The following is a 19,946-nucleotide window of genomic DNA, read 5'->3' on the forward strand; positions in this document are numbered from 1 at the left end:
ATGAACCTTCCCCAAATACCCTAGGAAATAAGGATGCCCCTTGCCCCACCCCACACTCTCTGTCCTACCTGCCCTGCCCTTATCAATTCCTATTTATTTCCGCTAGAATGTAAGTTCCAGGAGGGCAGGTCTCTTTCCGTTTGGTTGGCTGCTGTATTCCTAACACCCAGAGCAGGGCCTTGCTTTTAGGCACTCAATATAGTTGTTGAATGAGTATATTGAGACTTCCATTCCTTCAGGCAATAAATCGATCAGAAAGACAGAGGCCGCTCTAGGTATTTCAAGCAAGAAGAGATTTTTCTCTTCTTTCTTGTGAATTTTTGTGGGTACATCGTATGTGTGTGTATTTGTGGGGTCCATGAGATGTTTGGTTCGGGCACGCCATGTGAAAGGAGCACATCATGGAGAATGGGGTGTCCATCCCCTCAGGCATTTGTCCTTTGAGTTACAAACAACCCAATTACACTCTTTAAGTTATTTTAAAATGTACAGTTATTATTGACTACAGTCTCCCTGTTGTGCTATCAAATAGTAGGCCTTTTTCATTCTTTTTTTTATTTTTTATTTTTTTTTTACCCATTACCATCCCCACCCCCCTACTCCCCTTCCCAGCCTCTGGTCACCATCCTCCTACTCTCTATGTCCATGAGTCCTATTATTTTAATTGTGAGAATATGTGATGTTTGTTTTTCTGTGCCTGGCTTATTTCACTAAATACAATGATCTCCAGTTCCATTCATGTTGTTGCAAATGACTGGATCCCATTCTTTTTTATGGCTGAATAGTACTCCATTGTGCATATCTACCACATTTTCTTTATCCACTCATCTGTTCATGAACACTTAGGTTACTTCCAAATCTTGGCTCTTGTAAATAGTGCTGTAACAAGCAGCAGTGCAGACATCTCTTCAATATACTGAGTTCCTTTCTTTTGGGTATCTACCCAGCCATGAGATTGCTGGATCATACGGTAGCTCAATTGTTAGTTTTTTGAGGAAGCTCCAAACTGTTCTCTACAGTGGTTTACTAATTTACATTCCCACCCACAAGGGTCCCCTTTTCTCTGCATCCTCACCAGCATTTCTTATTGCCTGTCTTTTGGATGTAAGCCATTTTAACTGGGCTGGCATGATATCTCATCGTAGTTTTTTTGTTTTTGTTTTTGTTTTTTTTTTTGGAGACGGAGTCTTGCTCTGTTGCCCAGGCTGGAGTGCAGTGGTGCAATCTTGGCTCATTGCAACCTCCACCTCTGGGTTCAAGTGATTCTCCTGTCTCAGCTTCCTGAGTGGCTGGGATTACAGGTGCATACTGCCACACCCAGCTAATTTTTTGTATTTTAGTAGAGACGGGGTTTCACCGTGTTACCTAGGCTGGTCTCGAACTCCTGAGCTCAGGCAATCCACCTGCCTCGGCCTCCCAAAGTGCTGGGATTACAGACGTGAGCCACCACGCCCGGCCCTCATTGCAGTTTTGATTTGCTTTATCTAATGATCATGGTGTTGAGCACCTTTTCATGTGCCTGTTTGCCATTTCTATGTCTTCTTTTGAGAAATAGCTATTCAAATCTTTTGCTCATTTTTTGATCAGATTATTAGACTTTTTCCTATAGAGTTGTTTGAGCTCCTTATATATTCTGGTTACTAATCCCGTGTCAGATGGGTGGTTTGTAAATATTTTCTCCCATTCTGTGGGTTGTCTCATCTCTTTGTTGATTGCATCCTTTGCTATGCAGAAGCTTTTTTACTTGATGTGTTCCCATTTGTCCATTTTTGTTTTGGTTGCCTGTGCTTGCAAAGTATTGCTTAAGAAATTTTTGCCCAGACCAATGTCCTGGAGATTTTCCCCAATGTTTTCTTGCAGTAGTTTCACAGTTTTGTCAGAGGCGTTTGAATCAGAGCAACTCCATCTTGAATAGGATCTTGGTAACACGAGGCTGAGACCTACTGGGCTGCATTCCCAGACAGTTAAGGCATTCTAAGTCACAGGATGAGATAGGAGGTCAGCACAAGATACAGGTCATAAAGACCTTGCTGATAAAACAGGTTGCAGTAAAGGAGCTGGCCAAATCCTACCAAAACCAAGATGGCGACGAGAGTGACCTCTGGTCATCCTCACTGCTACACTCCCACCAACACCGTAACAGCTTACAAATGCCACGGCAATGTTGGGAAGTTACCCTATATGGTCTAAAAAGGGGAGGCATGAATAATCCACCCCTTGTTTAGCATATCATCAAGAAATAACCATAAAAATGGGCGACCCGCAGCCCCAAGGGCTCTGTGTGTGGAGTAGCCTTTCTTTTATTTCTTCACTTTCTTCATAAACTTGCCTCCACTTTACTCTCTGGACTCTCCCTGAATTCTTTCTTGCACGAAATCCAAGAACCCTCTCTTGGGGTCTGGATCAAGACTCCTTTCTTGTAACAGTTTGAGGTCTTAGATTTAAGTCTCTAATCCATTTTGATTTGAATTTTGCGTATGCTGAGAGATAGGGGTCTAATTTCATTCTTCTGTGTATGGATATCCAGTTTTCCCAGCACCATCTATTGAGACTGTCTTTTCCCTAGTGTATGTTCTTGGCACCTTTGTCAAAAATGAGTTCACTTTAGGTGTGTGGATTTGCTTCTGGGTTCTCTATTCTGTTCCGGGGGTCTATGTGTCCTTTTTAATGCCAGTAACATGCTGTTTTGGTTACTTTAGCTCTGTAGTATAATTTGAAGTCACATAATGTAACTTCTCTAGTGTTCTTCTTTGTTCAAGCAAGAAGAGATTTAGGGATCTAGGAATTAGAGCTTCAAAATCACTGGAAGGCTAGAGGTGCGAAGGTTCAGGAAAGCCATTCATTGCCCTCAGGCCCACCACCAGTTACAGGAAAAACAACAAGTTTCAGAACCTGCAGAAACCATTGCCAGGGTCACATTTGCCTGCAGTACCAAGGTGGGATTCACTGGGGAAATGCTCAAATGCCAAGGCAAACTCATGCTTGCCGTGTTTGCCACCTGTTGAAGGGGGAGCAGCAAGCCGGCTTGCCTCTCTTCTATTTTCCAAATTTCACTCGAGTGCCTCTCAGCGGCCCAATCTAAGTTGGAATGCTCCTAGTTGGTATACTGGGAAATATAGTCCCCAGGCTTTCTACTCCCCAGTACAGAGCTGGCACACCAGAGTGGAGAACCAGCCGACGACCCAGCAGAGGCAGAAGATGCCACCCTGTGTTCTCTTCTTGCTTCCCCCCAAGTTATCCTTTTTGTGGGAAGAGACTCTCCAAGAAAGAGATCAATGATGCAGATGAATTTCAAGGATTGAGGTCTGTCAGATTTCAGAGTCCACATGTGGAGGGAATGTCTACCTTAAATTACCAAAAGGTAATGATTATAGCTTAAGTGTATTGAGCTGTACTATGTGTCCAGTACTATTCTAAGCCTTTCATATAAATTACCGAATTTAGTCCTCATGAGGCAAGCATTATTATTCATCCTCATTTTATTTTATTTTATTTCATTTCTTTTTTTCTGAGACAGAGTCTCACTCTGTCACCCACGCTGGCATGCAGTGGTGCAATCTCAGCTCACTGCAACCTCTGCCTCCTGGGTTCAAGCGATTCTCGTGCCTCAGCCTCCCAAGTAGCTGAGACTACAGGTGCACGCCACCACGCCCAGTTAATTTTTGTGTTTTTAGTAGAGATCAGGTTTCGTCGTGTTGGCCAGACTGGTCTGGAACTCCTGACCTCAGGTGATCCACCTGCCTCAGCCTCCTAAAGTGCTGGGATTACAGGAGTGAGCCACTGTGCCCAGTCTTCATCCTCATTTTATAGATGAGGAAAGAGAAAGTGGAGGCTAAGTATCTTGCCCAAGGTTGCATAGCTAGAAAGCTGTGGGGCCACATTTTCAACCCTGGCTTTCTGACTTTGGAGCCTGAGCTTCTAAACATTAGATTACATTCCCCCTCCCCCATAAAGGGGTGGAAACACCAGTTCTGGGCATCTCAGCTACAAGAGCATACATGAAGGAAAGGCTTTAAACGTCTATGTAAATTTGTCAATAACATAAAAATAAAGATGACCTGAATGTAGCACTTGGGAGGTCAAAACAGAAGCCATGAGTAGGTCTCAAGAAGTATGTTGCTCTGGGTCAGGGAATCCTGCAACAGCAAAGTCGCTTGTTCACTGTGGCACGGAGAGGGGTAAGTAGGGAGAAGTGTGGCTTGCAACTTGGAATTCGAACCCTTTCCCTGCCACACTAACTTCTTTGGTGGTGTTGGCATATCATTTAGGCTTTTTGTATTTTGGGGCTTCTCACAGTTCTAAGTGAAATAACGATGTTAACTTTATCCAGAGAAGAATATGGGGGAAGTCCTAATCACTTAGTATAAATTATTCTGAAAACCAAACTGCTAAAGCATAATGCTCTATGCTGGCAGAGAAGTGAATATTGCACTAGAGAATCTTCCAGGTGTCATTTAAAATTCAACAGTGATGGGCCTCCAGTAACTAAGGAAGATGACTTCACAGTCTGCTAGATTTTACGGTCATTGTTTTCACCTTGAAAGCTTGCCTACACTTTCTTAATTTTAATTTAAATCCATCCCTCCTTTGAAACCTCCTAAACTAGGTGTGTTTCTCTCTTTGTTCTCACCCCTAGACATGGACTTCCTGAAAACAGTCTTGTTTTACCAGTTATTTTTAGATTTTATACATATTCTAGTTGCTTCAGTCTTCACTTTGAAGCCATCCCTTCTAAGTTGTTTAATTACTGTGATCATACACTACATTTATCTTTCGGGCAATAAGATGTTCAGAACAGAATGCAATATTTTAGATTAAGTTTCAGGCTGGGTGCGGTGGCTCACGCCTGTAATCTCAGCAGTTTGGGAAGCCGAGGTGGATGGATCATGTGAGGTCAGGAGTTTGAGACCAGCCTGGCCAAGATGGCAAAACCTCATCTCTACTAAAAATACAAAAATTAGCCAGGCATGGTGGTGGGTGCCTGCAGCGCCAGCTACTTGGGAGGCTGAGGCAGAAGAATTGCTTGAATCTGGGCGGCAGAGGTTACAGTGAGCTGAGATTGCGCCACTGCACTCCAGCCTGGGCAACACAGGGAGACTCTGTCTCAAAAAAAAAAAAAAAAGAAAAAGTTTCAACTGAGCTATTTCACATGAAAGCAACGCACTAGATTCATGATACATACTGAGTTCCTCCATATACCTGTAACCAGAGCCACACCCAGTGCTGTGCTGAGTGTTAGGGACACAAAGATTAAGGACCTGGCTACCAGCCTCAAGGAGCTTAGAGTCGAATGGTTATAATGCACAGATTTTTGAACCCTTAAATGGGTGTCTCAAATCTTGAGTCAGAGCTCTGTAATTAGCAATCATTTTGCACCTTAGCTCTGCACAGTGGGTTTAGAACTCTTCAGGAGTAATCAATTTAATAGAGAAAAGAGGGCAAATAAAAACACAAATGGATAGCACGTGCATAGCTATATTGTTAGTGATTAGGGAAGATCAGATTGCAGTCCCAGAGGGACTGTGAAGAGTGTCATGGATCAGTGGGACTCATCGAGAGACGCTTCCTGCAGGAAGTAGGCCTCCCTTAATGTAGCAAAAGTTTACATTATTTCTGAACATTAATTATGTAATTAATTACATAATTAATTTCATTAATGTAAATTATTCATTTACATAACTAATGTAAATTAAAGTTTACATTAACTACATTTAATTAATGTAAATTAAAGTTTACATTAATTCCATTATCTCTTGCCTGTCTTTAGGGAGAACTGCTTTATTTATTTATTAAAATTTTATTTTATTTCAAATTGAGGGGGTACATGGGCATGCTTGTTACGTGGGTACATTGTATACTGGGCTTCTAGTGTACACATTACCCAGAGAGTGAACATCATACCTGATGGGTACATTTTCAACCCTTGCTCCCTGCAAGTCCCTGCCCACCCACTTTGGAGGCCACGTGTCCACTGTTTCCATCTTCATGTCCATGTGGACTCACTGTTTTGCCTCCACTTACAAGTGAGAACACGCAGTTTTGATTTTCTGTCTCTGAGTTAGTTCCTTAGGATAATGGCCTCCAGCTCCATCCATGTCACTGCAAAGGACATGATCTCATGCTTTTGTATGGCTGTTTTTTTTGTTTTTTTTTTGAAGAGATAGTCTCACTATGTCGATGAGGATGAAGTGCAGCGGCATGATCATAGCTCACTGCAGCCTCGAATTCCTGGGCTCAAGAGATCATCCCACCTTAGCCTCCTGAGTAGCTGGGATGATAGATGTACACCACAACTGGCTAATGAAAAAAAAAAAAAATTGGCTGGGCGCAGTGGCTCACGCCTGTAATCCCAGCACTTTGGGAGGCCGAGGCGGGTGGATCATGAGGTCAGGAGATCAAGACCATCCTGGCTAACACGGTGAAACCCCGTCTCTACTAAAAATACAAAAATTAGCTGGGCATGGTGGCGGGCGCCTGTAGTCCTGGCTACTTGGGAGGCTGAGGCAAGAGAATCGCTTGAACCCGGGAGGCGGAGGTTGCAGTGAGCTGAGATTGGTCCACTGCAATCCAGCCTGGGTGACAGAGCAAGACTGTCTCAAAAAAAAAAAAAAAATAGCAATGTGGTTTTAGGATGCTGCCCAGGCTGGTCTCAAATTCCTGGCCGCAAGCAATCCTCCTGCGTCAGCCTCCCGAAGTGTTGGGATTACAGGTGTGATCCACTGCACCTAGCCAAGAACTGCTTTCCAAATGTCTACCATGCAGAGTCAGGGTCATTGTCTCCGTGAGTAGGAAGTTTGATGTTTTGGCTTGCCTTCATGCCTTTGATTTTCTCATACTTTTGAGACTCCATATTTTCACACTTTATTTTCCCTTCTGCAGGTGTGTTGGCAACACCTCTCGATTTAGCTCATCCCTGCATTTTATCTGTTGCTTTTTATTCCCCCTTAAAGAACATTAAGATGAGAGCTAAGGCCAGAGCCAGTGCTGGTGTCAGGCCTCCCTTCCTGGGGCCTGTGGGTCACATGTCACAATTTGTGGCCTAGAGCATTTGGTTGTGTTTTCAATCCATGCACCTGTGTTCTTCTGGGAGCTGAGATTTGCTAAGATTCGCTACAGTGAAAGTTTTATCTAAGTAAACATCTCTCACCTCTTTTGGGGACTTTTCATCTGTGGAATGAGTGAAACGGTCCAAAGGTGATCAAGTACGCAAGACAGCCTCCTCTCTCTAGGACCTGGATCTTCCTCGCTCCTCATTCTCATGAACCATTAGTGGGTTTTTTTTCTTCTTTCTCTTAGGACATGGTCACAGTTGTGTGCAGCAGTGAAGCTGGACATAAGAGAGCACAGCCAAACTGGGGCTGTGGGGTGTTTCCTCTCACCTGTTCTTCACCTGTTCTTGCCCACTCAGAGCATTGTGGCCCCTGGCTTTTATTACTGCTTCTTTAGTTGCCTGAGATGCAGTCTTCATTGGGAGGAGCTTGAAAAGAACTCACTAGCAGGACCTAGTGCACAGCAGGCATTTAATAATGATTTGTCTTCGGCTCTCTCTGCAACCTTGTGAGTGGCATTGCACCCTGCAGCCTGCTGTTACACACAGAGTCAGATTAGCTATGGCTAGTCACGGCTAGTCACGGCTGGTCATGGCTAGCTAGTCACGGCTGGTCATGGCTAGTCATGGCTAGTCACAGCTGGTCATGGCTAGTCACAGCTAGTTACAGCTAGTCAGGGCTAGTCACAGCTGGTCATGGCTAGTCACAGCTAGTTACGGCTAGTCACGGCTCATCACGGCTCCTTGTGGCTAGTCACGGCTAGTCACGGCTAGTCATGGCTAGTCATGGCTTGTCACGGCTTGTCATGGCTCATCACGGCTTGTCCCGGCTCGTCCCATGACGGGATTCTCTGGGCATCATTCTTCTCCTGGGACTTGGTGTCCTCATCCTTCCTGTGGGAGCGAGGAGGCTGCCTCCCTCACGGGTGGCTGTGAGGAATTATAAACCAATAAAGTGACTGCTTAGCATACGGCTGAATGTGAAGGGCAATAGAAATGCTTAATTTCATTTATTTGCTAGTAGTTGGGTGGCCACGTGAATGTTGCTGTGGAGACCATAACTCCTGAATTCCCCAACACTTACCTATGCTGTTGTTTTTAAATGAAGCTTTACACTTAAATCTTGTGATTTTTTTTAAAATTAGAAAAGTAGCAGGAAGGGTCACAGCTTGCTCTCCATCTCAGCCTTTTCATAGGAAACTGTGAGCTGCTACAGTCCCCACCTAGGAGCATCTACTGACCAGTTACTCTCACCTGATCCCTCTCTTCACCCAAGGTCATACGTCTTCCATCTATCCATCCACCCGTCCACCCATCCGTCCATCTGTCCACCCACCTGTCTGTCCACCCACCCGTCTGTCTGCCCACCCATCTGTCCATCTGTCCACCTGTCTGTCCACCTGTCCACCCGTCCATCTGTCCACCCACCCGTCTGTCCACCCACCCGTCCGTCCATCTGTCCACCCACCCATCTGCCCACCTGTCTGTCTGCCTGTCTCTCCGTCCACCTGTCCACCCGTCCGTCCATCTGTCCATCCACTCTGTCCACCTGTCTGTCCATCCACCCATCTACCCGTCTGTCCATTTGTCCACCCACTTTGTCCACCTGTCTGTCCATCCACACGTCCGTCCATCTGTCCACCCACCCGTCTGTCCATCCACCTGTCCGTCCATCTGTCCACTCCCCCATCTGCCCACCTGTCTGTCCGTCCACCCGTCCACCCATCCGTCCATCTGTCCACCCACTCTGTCCACCTGTCTGTTCACTCATCCACCTGTCCATCCATCTGTCCACCCACCCATCTGTCCACCCACCCATCTATCCACCTGTCTGTTCCTCCATCCAGATACACTGCATTTCCAACTCATGAGTTGAATGGGCCCCATGTGAGTAGATCAGAACTGTTGATTTTCTAGTGAACCTTTAGAATTGAGAGGATGGAGACGTGATGGCAGATTCTGTGCAGCTGATGAGGTGAAGGGGGAAGTGGCAAAGGGAACATTTGCAGCAGTGATGGTGGAGGCTTTAGCAATTCCGTGCTGGTGCCCAGCCTCAGGCAGCACACAGCTGTGAGATGACAGTCAAGCCAGGGGGCAACAACAGCACTGCTTAGAAAAATGGGTCTTGATTCTAAGCCCTCATTGGAGGAATCCTGGAATCCCACACCCCAGCAAGTCCCTCTCTTCCCTGAGCAGGTCCTCAGGTTGCTTCCGTGTCTCCACCACGGTCTTTGAAGCCCTTCTCTGGGCTGTGTGTGCTTCTCTGCCCACCACCCTTACGGCTGACTCTGGTGGCCATCGCTCCCACAGCTGAAGCTGCTGCACCTGCTGCGGCTCGTATGGCTTAGGTGGAGACAGCCCGTGCCTTACTCCTGGCCACGGCAACTTTGTTCTGGCAGTTCTTTACAGAGTTCTTAGTATCACAACTTTTTTTTTTTTTTTTTAATTAAGCACACATTCTCAGTTCATTTTCTTTAATGGCTCTTCTATTCCCAACAGCAATCAGCCAGTGTCTTTTGATGATCTTCCCAGTGCTGGGGTCCCCTCTCCCAAGACGACATGAAGCTAGACCCCATGGGGACTCTAGCTGGACATGCTGGGATTCCTGAAGTGGGCACACAGGCTAACTCTCTCTCTGGGACTTTTGCTTCAGAGGGAAAAGACAACTGGATTATTGTGGCCATATCTTTTCTCTTTTTTAATGTCAGTTCTGGGATACATGTGCAGAGCATGCGGGTTTGTTACATAGGTATACATGTGCCATGGTGGTTTGCTGCACCCATCAACCTGTCATCTGGGTTTTAAGCCCCACATGCATTCGGTATTTGACCTAATGCTATCCCTCCTCGACAGGCCCCGGTGTGTGATGTTCCCCTCCCTGGGTCCATGTGTTCTCATTGTTCAACTCCCACTTACGAGTGAGGACATGCAGTGTTTGGTTTTCTGTTCCTGTGTTAGTTTGCTGAGAATTACGGCTTCCAGCTTCATCCACGTCCCTGCAAAGGACATGAGCTCATTCTTTTTTATGGCTTCATAGTATTCCATGGTGTATATGTGTATTGTGGCCATATCTTTTCTAAATCAAATGCATCATCTTCCTCCCACTTTTCTTGTTGTTGGAAATGGTATTTCATCTCTCTTGCCCAGCTCATATGCCTGAAAATCATCCTTGCCATCTCTGCACATCAGTTTAGTCTCCAAGCCTAGCCGATTGAGTGCCAACAGCTCTGAAATTGATCCCCAATTTCCATCCCCTCCTTTACCTCTCCCATCACTTTCTAAAAACAGCACTATTGACATATTTTACATATGATAAAACCCACCCTATTCAAGTGCACAGTTCAATATTTTTTGGTAAATTTACTGAGTGGTGCAGCCATCACCATAAATCAGTTTCAGAACATTTTCATCATCCCAATGAAGATCCCATTTACAATTAATCCCTGTTCCTACCCCCAGTTTCAGGCAACCACTAAGCTACTTTCTATCTACAGATTTGCCTTCTGAGCATTTCATATAGATGAAATCACACACTACGTGATCTGTCATGTCTGGTTTCTTTCAGTTAGCATGATGCTTTTGAGATTCATTTGTGTTGTGATGTCTATCAGTATATCAGTATTTCATCCCTTTTTATTGCCCAGTAATACTCCATTTTTGGATACACCGCATTTTGTCCATCCATCAGCTGAGGCACATTTCACCTCTTTTTGGCTATTTATAAATAATGCCACTATGAACTTTTGTGTGCAAGTCTTTGTGTGAATGTGAACATATGCTTTTATTTCTCTTGGGATAGATACTAAGGAATGAAGTTGATGACGGTACAGTGATATTATGTTTAACTTTTTGAGAAACTGCCAAACTGTTTTCCAACACAGCACACCATATTACATTCCCACCAGCAACGCATGAGGGTTCCCGTTTCTCCACATCCTCAACAATGTTGTCATTGCCTGTCTTTTTGATGATAGTCGTTCTAGTGGGTATGAAGTGGTGTCCTTTGTATTTTTAATTTTCATTTCTCTAATGACGAATGATGTGGAGCCTCATTTCATGTGCTTATTAGCCACACACAGAGCTTCTTTGATGAAATATCTGTCCATGTCTCTCACCCATTTTTTGATGAGGTTGTTTGTTTTCTAATTATGGAATTGTAAGGCCCTCCCGTCCCATCACTTTTTTTTTTTTTTTGAGAGAGGGTCTCACTCTCTCGTCCAGGCTGGAGTGCAGTGGCCCCAGCATGGCTCACTGCGGCCTCGACCTCCTGGGCTCAAGTGATCCTCCTACCTCAACCTCTCAAGTAGTTGGGACTACAGGTGCATGCCACCACACCTGGCTAATTTTTTAGTTTTGTGGAGACAGGGTTCTCACTATGTTGTCCAGGCTGGTCTCAAACTCCTGGGCTCAAGCAATTCTCCTGCCTGTAATTTGAGTGCTGTTTTAAAAATTTTAAATAAAAATGTTTCCAGGAACTCCCCCCCGCCACCCCCCAGCAAGAAAATGATATTCTAGTCTGGTTCTCTTTTGAATTCATTGGAACAGTCACCAATCATATAGGTAGTGGGTTTTTTTATTCGTTATTTTAACTTTTATTTTTGGTTCGGGGTACATGTGCAGGTTTGTTATATAGGTAACCTTGTGTCACGAGGGTTTGTTGTACCGATAATCTTGTCACCCAGGTACTAAGCCTAGTACCCAATACTTATTTTTTCTGATCTTCTCCCTCCTCCCATCCTCTACCCTCAATTAGGCCCAGTTGTATTTTATTCTAAGTTCTGGACTTCCACAGCTTTTTAGCTTTTTATGCCCCACCTGCTACCCACATCTTCCACCTCAGATCCTAAGCTGTGTGTGGTTCTTGCTTGGGGACCAAGGAAGGGTTTATGTTTTTCCCTGGCACTCTCCTTGGCTTTGCCTTTAAAAAAAAAAAAGAGAGAGAGAGAGAGATGAGGCTTCTATCTGTTGTCCAGGGAGCACAGTGGTGCAAACATAGCTCACTGTAGCCTTGAACTCCTGGCTCCCTCTCACTCTGTTGCCCAGGCTGGAGTGCAGTGGCATGATCTCGGCTCACTGCAACCTCTGCCTCTGGGGTTCAAGTGATTCTCCTGCCTCATCCTCCCAAGTAACTGGGACTACAGGTGCGCACCACACCTGGTGAATTTTTGTATTTTTCTTTTTTTTTTTGAGACAGTGTCTCACTCTGTCGCCCAGGCTGGAGTGCAGTGGCACGATCTTGGCTCACTGCAAGCTCCACCTCCCAGGTTCACGCCATTCTCCGGCCTCAGCCTCCTGAGCAGCTGGGACTACAGGTGCCTGCCACCACGCTGGGCTAATTTTTTTTTTTTTTTTTGTATTTTTAGTAGGGACGGGGTTTCACCATGTTAGCCAGGACGGTCTCGATCTCCTGGCCTCGTGATCCACCCGCCTCAGCCTCCAAAGTGTTGGGATTACAGGCGTGAGCCACCGCGCCAGGCCAATTTTTGCATTTTTAGTAGAGACAGAGTTTCACCATGTTGGCCAGGCTGGTCTTGAACTCCTGACCTCAAGTGATCCTCCTACCTCAGCCTCCCAAAGTGTCGGGATTACAGGTGTGAGCCACCGTGCCCAGCCTGCTTTGTTGTATCCTGGCTTTGGCTAGGCATGCAGCTGTGTGTGTGTGCAATGTGTGCATGTTGCTCACATTGTGTGTGTGTGTGTGTGTGTGTCTGGATGCTTTGTGGGCACACACATCGTTTACCCTCTAGCTTCTTGTGATTCCTCTCTGACACTGAAACTTGCTTTAAGTTCCTTTTAATCTTTTTCTCATAAGAATATTAAATTAAGAATATTAAATATTAATATTAAATTCTGTCTTAGAAAACAGAATTAGAGGCTGGTCATGGTGGCTGATGCCTGTAATCCCAGCACTTTGGGAGGCTGAGGTGCGGGGAGGATCACTTGAGGCCAAGTGTTTGAGACTATCCTGGGCAACATAGCAAGATGCTGTCTGTATAAAAAAATATAAAATAATTAGCCAGGTATGGTGGTGCATGCCCGAAGCCCAGCAATTAGAGTTGCCAGCTGCTTGGGAGGCTGAAGCAGGAGGATCACTTGAGCCCAGGAGTTCAAGGCTATAGTGAGTTACACTTGTGCCACTGTACTCCAGCCTGGGCAACAGAGTGAGATCCTGTCTCAAACAAAAGTAAAAAGAAAACAGAATTAGAATTAGCAACTCCCCCCAAAGAATTGTTATGCTTTTTAATATTTTGGTGTTAAAATCTAATCTTTTTTTCCTGATACATATATACTTTTCTTTTGGTTTTACTGAGTTATTATCATATTGCATATACTTTACTTTTTAACTTAACACTAATATATGATCAATATCTTTGCATTCCATTATTCTTTTATGAGCATTTGTAAGGGCTGCAAGGTATTCCACTGTCTGACTAGACTGTAAGTTGTTTATTTACTTTTTTTAAGAAATGGGGTCTCACTATGTTGGCCAGACTGGAGTGCAGTGGCACCATGATAGCTCACTGCAGCCTCGAACCCCTGGGTTCAAAACATCCTCCAGCCTCAGCCTCCTGAGTAGCTGGGACCACAGGTGTGTGCCACTGTGCCTGGCTTAGACTGTGAGTTATTAAACCCATCCCCACTCTTGTGCGTTTAGGCTGTTTTTCTCCCCTTCGCTATTATAAACAGAGCTACACTGGATGCTGTGATCCCTTTTCAAAGCAGGTTACTTCTGTGGAAGGGGCAGCACAGCCCAAGGTTGTGAGCATCTGGAACCCAAGGTCAGTGGGCTGAGGACACATTGTCTGATCCTCCTCGCTCTTTTTAATCTTTTTAAAGTCTTTTAAAATCTTTTTTAAGTTTTCTCCCCCAACCCCAAAACAAAATAAAATTAACAACCAAAAAAAAATGTATCACTCTGACTACACAAATTTGGTTCATATCTTTTCTCTCTATCTACCTTTATCATCTGAACTTTTAATTTCAGACTGAAATCAAGCCTTGGAATTTAGCGTGGAAGGAATTTATAAGGCTAAAATGATTAATGATTGAAATGATATTTCAAGAGTGGAAACCCTTTCTCAGCTTGCAGGATAACAACCCTCCTCTTATACCACAATAATGACCAGGCACACAGATTCACGTTACCAGCTTGCCGATGACTCTCTGGTGGCCCCCGCATGATCATACGGTCCTCAGAACACCAGAAGATCATATGCAAATATTGTCTGCATATTCATCAAGATACCACGTGGCCAGTGTAAGCTGCTTTAATTATTCTTCAAGGAGAAACACAGCCGTCTCTAGCACACGCACTTCAGTGGCTCTGTCGGCATGTTGGTGCCTGAACTGATATGGAAATTATTTCGAAAGCAAAATATTGAAGAGGAGTGAAATCTGCTGTACTGTACAGTCAACTTAGCAATTAGAAGTTGCCAGCCTTTTTTTTTTTTTTGAACAGTCTTGCTCTGTTGCCCAGGCTGGAGTTCAATGATGCCATGTTGGCTCACTGCAACTTCTGCCTCCTGGGTTCAGATGATCCTCCCCTCAGCCTCCCAAGTAGCTGGGACTACCAAGCATGCACCACCACATCTAGCTTTTTTTTTTTTTGTATTTTTTGTAAAGATGAGGTCTCGTTATATTGCCTGGGCTGGTCTTCAACTCCTGGGCTCAAACAGTCCACCCACCTTGGCCTTCCAAAGTGCTGGGATTATAGTTGTGAGCCACCGCACCTGGCTGGTTTTTTATTTCTGATTTATACTTTCAGACTTTCAAAAACACAATGATATAATATATTTTAGCTATAAAATTTATGATCTATTCACCCCTGAGTTATAAATAATGGGAAAGCTAAACTGCATTCTCTGAAATATAAAAGTCCCGTGAGGCATTCCCAAAGAAGTTATGTCCATTTAATAATTAAGCAACAAGGAATATGGAATAAAAATTTCATTCTTAGCCAGGTAATGGACTTTAGCTTTCTTTGCACTTTGTACTCATGGATACACCAGAAAGATATGTTTTTCACCCAGGGATATCAACGGAATCAATAAATTGATGTTCATAGAAGCTCTTGGTGGCCGGGTGTGGTGGCTCACACCTGTAATCCCAGCACTTTGGGAGGCCGAGGTGGGCAGATCACTTGAGGTCAGGAGTTCAAGACTGGTCTGGCCAACATGGTGAAACCCCGTCTCTACTAAAAATACAAAAATTAGTCAGGCATGGTGGTGCATGCCTGTAGTCCCAGCTACTTGGGAGGCTGAGGGATGAGAATCACTTGAACCCGAGAGGTGAAGGTTGCAATAAGCTGAGATCTTACCACTGCACTCCAGCCTGGGGAACAGAGTGAGGCTCCGTCTTAAAAAAAAAAAAAAAAAAAAAAACTCTTGGCTTTTATAAGCCAGTATATAATTTTTTCATTCTTAAAATGAGTGTCTTTTCCCACCTAAATCTTGAAGTAATAGTGTTAACATCCTCAAATGTGAAGAAGAAAAACATGTATATTTATAATCTATATCATTTATCTATCTATGAGTAATGAGTAAAGGTTTCAGTTGCAACACTGAAATTCCTCAGTCTAATAGAGAATCAAATTATAGCTACAGGCTGCTAATTCATAGAAAGAAAACCCTTGAAACAACAAGAATTCCAAAAGCCCAAGGTAGATCTGAAAAAGCCACCGTTAAAACTAGAATTCGGGAGTATCTTATGTACAACGTTGAATTTCCCAAAGAAAACTCTCATAAACTGACAACAATGACCAACCCATTTAAGGGCCCTGGAGAATGGCCAGAAGCAGGCAGAGACTGGAAGGGGTTCGAAGATCTAATCCTTAAAAGAAGGGTTCTAGGGCCCTCCTTCCAGTCTGCTGAGCACTGTGACTAGAGCACAAGAAAAAAGCCAGTCGTAGGGTTTGAGGCATTCCATGGTGAAGTTCAGGGCTGTCAAGAGTAGCTGGAGAGGGGGAAGGAGAATCCAGGAAAGGAGAGAGCCACACTGGGGCAGCCCTGAAATCCACTAAAATTTCCCTCAAATCTGGCTGATGAGTTGAACTCTGAACACCCAGAAGAGCTGCAGGAAGTCGAGAGAAGGCAGGAACTGCATGGTGAAGGAGTTGAGCAGAGACTGCAAGTCCTGTCAAGTGCACGGAGCAGAGTTGGAGTCTGAGTTCCAAGTTAGAGGGGACTGGCAAAGCGGTTAGGCTTTCCATTGAAGCTGCAGAAGGGCTGCGCCTCGGGGATAAAGAACAGTCCCAGGACTAAGGGATTTTCCTTAGATCTCAGGGCAAAAGCTAGTTAGAACCACTCAAAGAAAGCATGAAACCAAGCCTCCTCAAGTTCGAGGTGACCCATCAGTAACTTAACTGCCTGCTAGAACAAAAATCAATACTCCTCAAGGAAGGGAATAGAATCTAGCATCTCTATGATGTAGCATCTACAATATTCAATATACAGTTACAATTTCTTGAATATGAAAAGAAACAGGAAAATGTGATTCCGAGTCAGTAGAAAAATCAGTTAATAGAAAGTGACCCCCAAATGAGTCAGAGGTTGGAATTCAGACAAGAACTTTAAATACGCTACTGTAAATATGTTTAAGGATTTAAAGGGGGAAAAAAACAGAGAACTGGAAACACACACACACACCCACACACATATGCAATTTTTGGATCAGCTGCATCAGCTTAACAGCAGATTGGAGGCAGCTGAAGCAAAGGTTGGCGAACTTAATAAAGGAGCAATAGAAATGATTCCGTCTGTAAAGAGGTAAAAATGTAAATAATGAACAGAGTTTCAATAACCTATAAGACAATATCAAGCACTGTAATAACAAACATGTAATTGGTATCCCAGAAGGAGAGGAAAAAGAGAGAACAGGGCAGAAAAAAATATTTGACTAAGTAGTGGCTGAGAATCCCCCAAATTTGGTAAAAAACTTACAGATCAATTTACAGATCCTAGAAATTCAGCAAACCCTAACCAGGATAAATACAAAAAGTAACACATATAGAAATATTATAGTCAAATTACTGAAAACCAGAGGCAAAGAAAAAATCTTCAAAGAACTCAGAGAAAAAAAGACACATTACATACAGGAGACTGTCCATATGAATTACTGCTGACCTCTCATCAGAAACAAGGAAGGCCAAAAAGCAATGAATGACATCCTCAAAGGGCTGAAAGAAAAATAACTGTCAATCAGGAATTCTACGTCTAGCTAAACGATTCTTCAAACACAAAAGTGAAACAAAGACATTTTCAGATAAGCAGAATCTGAGAATTTGTTGCCAGGAGACCCTCACTATAAGAAACACTAAAAGAAATGACCCAGTTAGAAACTTGCCTCTAAAGGAAAAAAAATAAAGAGCCCCAGACATGACAAAACTGGGTAAATATAAAAAACTTGACATTTTCACTGAAAGACAACAGATTGTTTCAAGTAAAATTGATGAAATTGTTTTGTGGATTTTATAATGCATGTAGATGTAAAATATATCAAATTAGTAGCACAAAGGAGGAAGGTAAGATGGAGAGGTTGCAAGTCTACATTTTAGGTGAAGCGGCACAATGTTAATTCTAAGTAGCCTATGAAATGTTAAAGATTCATATTATAGGCCAGGTATGGTGGTTTCATGCCATAATCCCAGCACTTTGGAAGGCGGAGGCGGGAAGACAGCTTGAGCTCAGGAGTTTGAGACCAGCCTGGGCAACACAGGGAAACCTTGTCTCTACTTAAAAAAAAAAAAAATTAGCCAGGTGTGGTGGTGTGCACCTGTAGTCCCAGCTACTAGGGAGGCTGAGGAGAGAGGATCATTTGAGCCTGGGAGATGGAGGCTGCCGTGTGCCATAATAGCGCCACTGCACTCTAGCCCAGGCAACAGAGTGAGCCCCTGCCTCAAAAAAAAAATCCATATTATAATCATCAGAGCTAAAAAGTCAACAGAGAGATGAAACTGGAATACTGAAAAGTTATTCAATTAACAAAAAAAGGCATGAGAGACAGAAGAATGAAAGAGAGTAGAGATAGAAAACAGACCCATACTAGCAACAACATGAAACTCAAAAACCTGTGTTAAGTGAAAAAAGCCAAACCCAAAAGAGTACATGCTGTACGGATTCTATGAATTAAAAACCCTTCCAGATCAGTCCACACTAACCCATGCTGATAGAAATCAGAACAGTAGTTTCTTATGAGAGGTGGGGATTGCCTGGGAAAAGGTAGATAACCTTCAAGAGGGACAGGAATTTATAGATGTTGATCGAGGTGGTGGCCTACGCAGAGTACACGTTTGTCAAAATTCATAGAACTTAACAATTAAAATGTGTGCGTTTCATCTTATGTATATACATTTTACATAAACATCAATTTTTGAAAGCTTCTTAAAAACTCTTGCAGAGCCTCCGGTTATAAACTTTAATCAACAGAGGGCGCTCGGAGCCCACCAAACACGCTTTGGGCCCCCAGCTACTTAGAAATGCAAATCAGAGCAGCTCTGGGCTCCCCCGTCTCCGAGGTGGATCGCGCAGCTCCCCAACACTCCCCCTCGACACCCCACCTTCCCCACCCGCGGCCTCGCCGGCTCGTTTCACCACACGCTGCTTTTTGGCTGATAAGCGGCTCGTGGCCAATGGCGATGATGTGTTTCGCGGCACCTACGCGAAATACAGATGCGGGTGGGAGCTGGCGCGTGCTGCCTGGAGGTGTACCTGCCCCCTAAGGTCCCCTATTGATAGGATCGCTTTTAAATTGGAAGTGGGAACGTAACGGAAACGTCCACTCTGTTCTTGCCATCTTCCTTTTGACCTTTTTACCTCGCTTTGGTGGCTGTGAAATATTCCCGCGCAGGAGCTGGAGCGGGGAGGAGTGGGGCAGAGCACGGGAGGCACAGAAGAAATTGTCCCCGAGGAAGGCAGAGTGGGGGCGTGGCCCCAGGCTTCCAGAACCCCGAACCTTTGTCTTCTTGCCCCCTCCTGCGTCGTCCACAGCTCAGAAGGAAGTCAGCGACCAGAAAGCCCTGAACGTCCTTCGCGCCCTCGCCCACCCCCGGGCTGGGTCTCCCCGCGGGCGCGGAGATGCCGTTACACCCCACGTGATCCCTGCGCCCGGCCAGTCCTTCCAGAGGCGTCTCGCGGGGTGTTAATTAAAGGTCACAACAAAACAGACCTGCTGGCTCACCAGAAGAAATGTCCTCCCGTGAAATGAAAAATGACACCCCAGAGCAGCCACGTGTGGAGCCTGGCATACGCCGGCTTCCTGCGCTCCTGGGCGCTGCGCCGGGGGACTGGGGCGGGGGGCGATCGGAGAGGGAGCGATGACGGGGTGCTCCGGAGACCCCGCGGGGCCCAGGCGCAGGAAGAAACGGGCGGCGGGGGGCGAGGGGCCCGATCCCACGCAAGGAGAGGCCAAGGCCAGCTCGCGCCACACCCCCTCTCCAGGCCAGAGTCGTCCGCGTGCAGCGCGGCGAAGCCCTCAGTTTCCCCTGCCCGGCAGCGGCCCGCTGGGTCACCAGGCTCACCTGTCCCAGCCCCGGGCGGCTTAGTCCATCACAGACCGGGGCTCGGGCGGGCGGGGGACCAAGGGCCCTAGTCCTGCGGCTGCGGTCGGGGAGGGTGGCCCCCCGGCCGGCCCGGGGTCGGTAGGGCAATTCCAGAAAAGGTTTGCCCGGCAGCTCTCCGAGAACAAAGGGCGGGGGGAGGACCCGGCATGTTTGTGGACTTGTTTGTGACTCAATCCCTTTTGCACGGCGTTTCACAGACAGACCTGCAAGCCTTGTCAGGAAGAGAAAGAACTTGGGGGCGGGGGAGGCTGGGGCACCGCATTTCCGTCCAGCCACGCTCGCTCGCGCGGCCCCCGGGCTCCAGGCTCGCGCAGCGGCGTTTCATTAGAGCCCCGGGCCCGG

At 45.4% G+C, this 19,946-nt stretch overlaps 4 annotated features.

Moving 5' to 3' along the window:
* Positions 18,426-19,101: an enhancer, noted in NCBI's record as "H3K4me1 hESC enhancer chr1:245316423-245317098 (GRCh37/hg19 assembly coordinates)". NCBI's record gives its function as "activates a minimal SCP1, AML or CMV promoter by ChIP-STARR-seq in primed H9 embryonic stem cells {active_cell/tissue: H9 hESC(primed)}" and the evidence as "EXISTENCE:reporter gene assay evidence [ECO:0000049][PMID:30033119]".
* Positions 19,102-19,777: an enhancer, noted in NCBI's record as "H3K4me1 hESC enhancer chr1:245317099-245317774 (GRCh37/hg19 assembly coordinates)". NCBI's record gives its function as "activates a minimal SCP1, AML or CMV promoter by ChIP-STARR-seq in naive and primed H9 embryonic stem cells {active_cell/tissue: H9 hESC(naive and primed)}" and the evidence as "EXISTENCE:reporter gene assay evidence [ECO:0000049][PMID:30033119]".
* Positions 19,102-19,831: a biological region, named in NCBI's record as "H3K4me1 hESC enhancer GRCh37_chr1:245317099-245317774".
* Positions 19,632-19,831: a silencer, noted in NCBI's record as "silent region_2028". NCBI's record gives its function as "represses an Ori minimal core promoter by ATAC-STARR-seq in GM12878 lymphoblastoid cells {active_cell/tissue: GM12878}" and the evidence as "EXISTENCE:reporter gene assay evidence [ECO:0000049][PMID:35858748]".

The sequence above is a fragment of the Homo sapiens genome, chromosome 1 (genome assembly GCF_000001405.40).
Source record: "Homo sapiens chromosome 1, GRCh38.p14 Primary Assembly".
Classification (NCBI taxonomy): domain Eukaryota; kingdom Metazoa; phylum Chordata; class Mammalia; order Primates; family Hominidae; genus Homo; species Homo sapiens.